At 47.8% G+C, this 8506-nt stretch overlaps 1 annotated feature.

Annotated features, from left to right (window-relative positions):
- Positions 359-1080: an enhancer, noted in NCBI's record as "NANOG-H3K4me1 hESC enhancer chr19:13732208-13732929 (GRCh37/hg19 assembly coordinates)". NCBI's record gives its function as "activates a minimal SCP1, AML or CMV promoter by ChIP-STARR-seq in primed H9 embryonic stem cells {active_cell/tissue: H9 hESC(primed)}" and the evidence as "EXISTENCE:reporter gene assay evidence [ECO:0000049][PMID:30033119]".

Below are 8506 nucleotides of genomic sequence, written 5' to 3' on the forward strand. Positions count from 1 at the left end.
CAATCAAATAGTTAAAATGGTATGCTCTATGTGTTTTTTTACCATAATTTAAAAAGAAATTGGCTGGGTGTGTTAGCTCACACCTGTAATCCAAGCACTTTGGGAGGCCGAGGTGGGTGGATCACCCGAGGTCAGGAGTTCAAGACCAGCCTGGCCAAGATGGTGAAACCCCGTCTCTGCTAAAAATACAAAAATTAGCCAGGCATGGTGGCGGGTGCCTGTAATCCCAGCTACTTGGAAAGTTGAGGCAGAAGAATGGCTTGAACCTAGGAGACGGAGGTTGCAGTAAGTCAAGATTGCACCACTGCACTCCGGCCTAGGTGACAGAATAAGACTCTGTCTCAAAAATAAATAAATAAAAAATAAAAATAAATCAAACACATGCTCTGGAGAGTAATTTGAAAGTAGCCAACATTTAGTGAGCACGTACTAGGTGCCTGCCACTGGGTATCACCTGTGGCTGGGCTTCTCAGCAATGCTAAGACACAGACGCCATCGTCATCCTTGCAGTCAGCAGGGGGCACTGAGGCACAGAGGGCTGAGTGGCTCCCCTGGGTCACACGCCAATGAGTATGTGGCCTCCAGGGCTTCTCAGATGCTGACTGGCTCATGACTCACCCAGCCTCAAGTTCAAATGCAGATTCTAACTCAGCAGGGCTGAGTGGAGCCTGGGACTGGCCAAGACCTGCACTTTGAGGGGAGGATTTCTTCCCCGGAGGCTAAGTCAGTCCTCCCTCGTCCACTGGACAAACTTGGCCTATAAGGGGGTGGAAAATGCTTACCCAGAGCGTTCGTCTGTCTGTCACTGTGGAGACAGCTAGGGTTGAAGGATCCTGGAATAGAAGCTCCCTCATTTGCCCTGGGCCCAGAGGGCCCTCTGGTCCTATGCCCTAACATTTTAAATAATAATAATAATAAATGAAACCCTCTGCCAGAGCTTTTGATGTCCACGAGTTTTACAGGTCATTTGCTCAGTAATTTCACTCAGTGTCAAATCCACCCTCTCCCTCCTGACCCCTGTAATGATCTTCTGTTTTCTTTTTGGGGAGGCTGCATTGAATTGAACCCATCTTATGTGGAGGGAAAGTGGCATTTGCACCGAGTGACTTTTTTTTTTTTTTTTGAGACGGAGTCTCGCTCTGTCGCCCCAGCTGGAGTGTGATGGCATGATCTCGGCTCACTGCCACCTCCGCCTCCCGGGTTCAAGCAATTCTCCTGCCTCAGTCTCCTGAGTAACTGGGACTACATGCGCCTGCCACCACGCCCGGCAAATGTTTTGCATTTTTAGTAGAGATGGGGTTTCACCATGTTAGCCAGGATGGTCTCGGTCTCCTGACCTCAAGTGATCCGTCCACCTCGGCCTCCCAAACTGCTGGGATTACAGGCATGAGTCACTGCGCCCGGCCACCGAGTGACATCTTGATACATCTCCTGAGATCTCTGTGTCTTGGAGGAAAATGGAGTATCCACACAGGGATAAACTCAGCCTCTTAGACTTCTGTAGTTGGGGAGACTTCCTGCAGCCTGGTATTGGGGTGTTGAGGATGGACTAGGGGTCACATGGGTAAGGGGAGGTCTGTGTCAGCTGTAAGCACCTGAGATCCCTGCAAGCAACTGAAGGCTATCCCTGAAAGAGCAGGTGCAGGACACGGCAAGGCTGCCCTAGAGTCACTGTCTCTGAACAGGACAGGAGCCCTGAGCCAGGGATACCTAGAGAATATTCCTCCACAGCACCTAGGGCTTTGAGGAGAAGGAGGAGAGAGAGAAGCTTCCCTCTTGTTGGTTCAGCCTCTGGGAAGGTGCTCTGACCTCCTGTTGACATTCTAAATTGGCTCCTTCTCCTGGGTCAGTCTCTCAGGAGCCTCTAAGGAAGGAGCCTGGAGCAATCAACATGATCCCCATGCCCTGCCGTCCCCAGCAGCGTCTGTTGTACGAAGCTGTTAGCTTCAAAGGAAGGAGAGGGGAGAAGAGGAATTCTGCTGCCAGTTTTTCCCACTTATTGAGAAACAAAAGCCACCCAGACAACTCGGTTCAAAATTAAAGAAAAAAGGCGGAAGGGGCAAGGGGGGAATGGCTTAGAGGGGGTGTCCAGCTCTTTCTCTGCTTTTCCTTCAAGTGGGGCAAGAGAGGGAAGAATATTAAATATTAAAAGGAAGAAGTGGTTTCCTAAGACGATGTAATTATTCCCAACAGCCTAAACTCCATCTGCCATTTATCTCTCTTTTCCCAACACATTCACGCCGCGTCGATCACAGCAAACAAGGCCCAGGCACACAGGCGTCGGGAACTTTTGTTCGGGGTCCCCAAAGCCATGGGCAATTGGGGGGTGGGGAGCGGTGAGGGGATATTTCATAATTCTAAATGTTGTCACTTGTTCAAAGCAGCACGAGACTTAAAATGTGGACTTGAATGAGGGGGGGTGGGGAAGATATAAAAAAGTAGAATTTGACTTAGGTCAGAAATTCTCATTCTTGGGAAAACGTCACATGTTCAGGGCAGATGGCAAAGACATCGGTTGCTGGGAGGGGGGTTGCCAAGGGCAATTGAATGAAAATGGATTTTTAAGAAAGAAACAGGAATACGCTGGAAATGAAGAGTCTGCCCCCCTTCTTCCCAGCAAGAGAAACTGTTCAGAAAAGGGAAGAGGTTCTTAAGGCAGAAGCAAGTGAAATCTGGAAATAAGCTGCCCGCCCGCAAAGAAAAACTCTTCATAGAGGGAGCAGGGGAAGATCTTTGTATTTCTACCTTTGCAGATGGAGGTAATTTGCAGCAAGGAAAGAAAGATTAAACTCCCTGCAGGACTTTGCCTCCAGCGTCCCCCGCTCTCAGAAGCCCCACTCACCTGTATCGCATCAGCGCTGGGGCTCAGGCGACGCGGCTAGTGGTCAGCACTGCGAGTCCTCCAGGGGTCCCGAGGGTCCCATCTCGTCAGCACCCAGGGGTCCGAGCTATCTGAAGTCCATGCATCCATGGCCCACCCAGTGGAAAGAAGAAGGGTGGCCCAGAGACAGGAGGGAGAAAAGTGGGTGCCAAGAAGAGCAGTTTTCTGAGCAGAGGGCTCCCCACAAAAGCAGACACTGAACGGGGTTGCTGTATCAGCTGCCAAGGGAAAAAAAAAAAGAGGAGGAGGAGGTTTCCCTGATGCTGGGAGGAGGGAAAGGAGGACCGATCGTTCTCAGCTGCTGATCATCTTTAGCTAAGTGCTACACGGGGACCCAGCCTGGGGAGATCAATCCAGGCAAGGCAGAAGCTGAGAACAAGCCAGGCCACTGCTCCTCAGGGGGAAAAATAATTCACGATTTCTTGCTCTCTTCTCTATGCCCCTTAACACCGCACTGGGACCTCCCAGCACAGGGCAAAACTGTTGTCTCAAAAAGGAGACTTTTTCCCCCCGTTCGGGCTTCCCTTAAAGAGCAGAGGAACGGTGGTAAGAAGAGTATTCTCTCTCTTCCACTGGTTCCTGTCGGGGGTCCGGGGAGGGGGCGTGTAGAATAGGCATCAGGCAGCAGGGATATGGAATCGTGTTATAATTTAACCATCTCCACTCCGCCACATTGCAACCTAAATTATTTATGCTCTTAGAAAAATGATAATTAGAGGACAGCTGCTAGCCTCCTCTCTGAGTCTGTCGTGTTCATTCTGGAAACAGCTTCCCAGTACCCTGATCTCCTCCCTTAGGCAGAGGGGTTGTATTATTAAAGAAGAAAGGCAGGAAAAGGAAAGTTGAGTCCTTTCATGCAAAACACCAATCCATTACAACTTGGTAAGTTTGTTTGCAATCTGTGTAGACTTATGCTCTCAAAACTAGGGTAATCCCATGTCTCTTTTCAAAGGGGCCTCCTGTTAAAGATAGGGGTTTTGTTTTTCCTATAAGAAGCATCAAGAGGCCGGTGCGGTGGCTCATGCCCGTAATCCCAACACTTTGGGAGGCCAAGGCGGGTGGATCACCTGAGGTCAGGAGTTTGAGACCAGCTTGGCCAACATGGCAAAACCCTGTCTCTACTAAAAATACAAAAATTAGCCAGGTGCCTGTAATCCCAGCTACTCAGGAGGCTGAGGCAGGAGAATCGCTTGAACCTGGGAGGCGGAGGCTGCAGTTAGCTGAGATTGTGCCATTGCACTCCAACCTGGGCAACAAGAGAGAAACTCTGTCTCATTTAAAAAAAAAAAAAAAAAAAGAAGAAGCAGCAGCAGCATCAAGGGCACAGAGAATCTCCGTATTTTTCCCAAGGCTGAGCCAAAATGGGGAGAATCTACCTCATTAAGAACAAAGCAGCATTTAGACAGGTGGGGAAAATCGAACCTGACTGGGTGTCAGGGGATTTTAAAGAATTCATGTGAGTTTTGTAAGGACTGTTGGTGGTATTTGGTTATGGTGTTCTTTAAAAGTGTTTGTCTGTTAGAGATGCATATGGAAGTATTTATGGATAAGGTGATATGATACCTGGATTTGCTTTTTTAAAAACTCCAGGAAACAGCACCACATAAATAAAATATGGCATAGCTATGCAATGGAATATTATTCAGCCATGAAACGGAATGAAGCACTGATCCGTGCTGCAACGTGGATGAACCCCAAAAACATGATGTTGAGTGAAAGAAGGCAGACACAAAAGACCACATGGTGTAGGATTCCATTTATGCAAATTGTCCAGAGTAGGCAGATCCATAGAGATGGAAATCAGGTGAGTGATTGGCAGGGGCAGGTGGAGAGGGAATGTGGAGTGATTGCTGTCAGGGATGGGGTTTCCTTTCGGGGTCATGAAAATGTTCTGGAACTAGATAAAGGTGATGGTTTTCACAACATCGTGAATGTGCTATGGAATTGCATTTTATTTTATTATTTATTTATTTACTTATTTATTTATTTTTGAGACAGAGTCTTGCTCTGTCGCCCAGGCTGGAGTGCAGTGGGGCAATCTTAGCTCAATGCAACCTCCGCCTCCTGGGTTCAAGCAATTCTCCTGCCTCAGCCTCCCGAGTAGCTGGGATTACAGGCGCCCTCCCCCATGCCCGGCTAATTTTTGTATTTTTAGTAGAGACGAGGTTTCACCATGTTGGCCAGGCTGGTCTCAAGCTCCTGACCTCAAGTAATTGCCTGCCTCGGCCTCCCAAAATACTGGGATTACAAGAGTGAGCCACCGCACCTGGCCAGAATAGCATTTTAAAATAGTTAAGTTTATGTTATGTGAATTTCACCTCTACTTAAAAAAAAAATCCCACCAGAAAAGAAGGGAAAAGATACACCCGAAGAGCAGAAAACTGCTAATTGGCCACGCACGAGGGTGGCTCATGCCTGTAATCCCAGCACTTTGGGAGGCTGAGGCAAGAGAATCGCTTGAGCCCAGGAGTTAGAGACTAGCCTTGGCAACATGGCAAAAACCTGTCTCTACAAAAAAATACAAAAATGCGTGCCTGAGTTCCCAGCTACCTGAGAGGTTGAGGTGGGAGAATCACCTGAGCCTGGGAAGTTGAGGCTGCGGTGAGCTATGATCATGCCATTGCACTCCAGCCTGGGCGACAGAGCAAGACCTTGTGGAAGGGAAGGGAAAGGAAGGGGAAAGGGAAGGGGGAAGGGAAAGGGGAAGGGGAAGGGAAGGGGGAAAGAATGGGAAGGGAAGGGAGGGGAGAGGAGGGGAGGGAAGGGGGGAGGGGAGGGGAGGGAAGGGAAGGGAACAAGAAAATAATATTTGCTTCTAAAACTGTTATGGTTTGGCTGTTTGTCCCCGGTAAAATTCATGTTGAAATTGAATCCCCAATATGGCAGTACTGGGAGGTGGGAAGCGGGGAGGGAGGGGAGGGGAGGGGAAGGGAGGGAATTGCTAATTGGAGAAGCTGGGTGATAGGGCCTTGGGGATTTGCTGTATTTTTTTCATTGTATTCTCTCTACTTCTCTACTTTGTGTATATTTGAAATTTTGTTTCTGTTTTTGAGACAAGATCTCATTCTGATGCCCAGGATGGAGTGCAGTGGTACAATCATGGCTCACTGCAGCCCAAACCTCCTGGGCTCAAGCAATCCTCCCGCCTCAGCCTTCTGAGTGGCTGGTACTATAGGCTCACGACACCATGTCCAGCTAATTTTTTTGATTTTTTGTAGAGATGGGGTCTCGCTATATTGCCCAGGCTAGTAATTTTCTATATTTGTTTTGTTTCCTTTTCTTTTCTTTTTTGTTTTTATTTTATTTTATTTTATTGAAATTTTCTATTTTAAAGAGACGTCTGGGAAGTGTGGATTAAGAAGAATGCAGCCCATGTCAGTGGGTTTAGACCAACAGACAATTTTGGCTGGACACAGTGGCTCACGGCTGTAATCCCAGCACTTTGAGAGGCCGAGGTGGGTGGATCACCTGAGGTCAGGAGTTTGAGACCAGCCTGACCAACATGGTGAAACCCGGTCTCTACTAAATACAAAAAACTAGCCGGGCATGGTGGTGCATGCCTGTAATCCCAGCTACTTGGGAAGCTGAAGCAAGAGAATCACTTGAACCCAGGAAGCAGAGGTTGCAGTGAGCCAAGATTGCACCACTGCGCTCCAGCCTGGGCAAGAAGAGCGAAACTCCATCTCAAAAAAAAAAAAAAAAAAAAAAAAACCAGATTGGGGGATTTCTATGTGGGTGAGTCCAGCCCGTAGTTCAGCAGCTGGGGAGCCACTAGGATGGGAAGCAACTCAAAGCAAAGCTGGTGGGATTTTCCCCAGGCCAGGAGGCCTCCAGGTCCGTCACCTACACTGGAGTGTAGAGAAGAAGCCAGCCCTGGGGTCCCTCGGCCTGGAGAACAAAAGGACTCAATCCACCCTGCCAGCCTGGGACCCTGCCCAAGCTTCATCTCCACATCAGTAAAACCAGGCTAATCCTTCATACCTGGTGGGGATTTTGTGAGCATTAAATGAGATCGTGTTAAAAAGGAACAACAAGAAAATAATATTTGCTTCTAAAACTGTTATGGTTTGGCTGTTTGTCCCTGCTAAAATTCATGTTGAAATTGAATCCCCAGTATGGCAGTACTGGGAGGTGGGACCTTTACAAGGTGACTGGGTCATGACAGCCCTCATGAATGGACTGATTCATTTATGGATTAATGAATTAATGGGCTAATGGATTAAGGGGTTGTTATGGAAGTGGGACTGGTGGCCTTATGAAAAGAGAAAGATGAGCCGGGGGCAGTGACTCATGCTTGTAATCCCAGCACTTTTGAAAGCCAAGGCAGGAGGATTGCTTGAGGACAGAAGTTTGAGACCAGCCTGGGCAACATAGTGAGACCCCTGTCTCTATTTTTAAAAGGAGAGGAGAGGGGAGGGGAGAAGAGGGGAGGGGAGAGGAGGAGAGGGAAGGGGAAAAGGAAGAGAGACCTGAAGCTTGAGACCAGCCTGGGCAACATAGTGAGACCCCTGTGTCTATTTTAAAAAGAAAGAGAGGAAAGGAGAGGAGAGGAGAGGAGAAGAGGAAGAGAAACCTGAGCTTGCACACTCAGCTCCTCACCATGCCATCCCCTGCACCGACTTGGGACTCTGCAGAATCCCCACCAACAAGGAGCTCCTCCTCAGATTTGGCCTCTTGACCTTGAACTTCTCAGCCTCCGTAACTGGAAGAAATTAACTCCTTTTCTTTATAAATTACCCAGTTTCAGGTATACTTTTTTTTTAAATGAGACAGAGTCTTGCTCTGTCACCCAAGCTGGAGTGCAGTGGCGCGATCATGGCTCACTGCAGCCTCAACATCTCTGGCTCAAGTGATCCTCCCACTTCAGCCTCCCGAGTAGCCGGGACTACAGGCGTGCGCCACTCTGCCCAGCTGATTTTTTAAATGTTTTATAGAGATAGGGTTTTGCCGTGTTGCCCAGGCTGGTCTCAAACTCCTAGGCTCAAGCAGTCCTCCCACCTTGGCCTCCCAAAGTGCTGGGATTACAGGAGTCAACCACCATGCCCAGCCCAGTTTCAGGTATTCTGTTATAAGCAACAGAAAGAGGGCTAAGACAAAAACCATCTCTGAAAGACACATGAAAATCAATCATAGGGGTCCGCTTTTCTCTGCTTATTTTTTTATATTTAGGGAATTTTAAACCATGTGAGTACGATATGGATTATATGAGTTAATGCATATGTTAAATAGCTTGATTTAGCCATTGTATAATGTATGTATATATATCAAAACATCCATAAGTATATATACAATTTTTACTTGTTGATTTAAAAATTTATTTAATTAAAACGTGAGATCATGCATGTCAAGAGACATCATACTTTTTTTCTTTTTTTTTTTTTTGGTAAAAGGCCAGATAATAAAAATCCTAGGCTTGGCCAGGTCCGTTGGCTCATGCGTGTAATCCCAGCACTTTCGGAGGCCAAGGCAGGTGGATTCCCTGAGGTCAGGAGTTTGAGACCAGCCTGGCCAACATGGTGAAACCCTGTCTTTACTAAAACTACAAAAAATTAGCCAGGCATGGTGGTGCGCGCCTGGAATCCCAGCTATTCTGGAGGCTGAGACAGGAGAATCGGTTGAACCTGG

Source organism: Homo sapiens, chromosome 19, assembly GCF_000001405.40.
Source record: "Homo sapiens chromosome 19, GRCh38.p14 Primary Assembly".
NCBI classification, from domain to species: domain Eukaryota; kingdom Metazoa; phylum Chordata; class Mammalia; order Primates; family Hominidae; genus Homo; species Homo sapiens.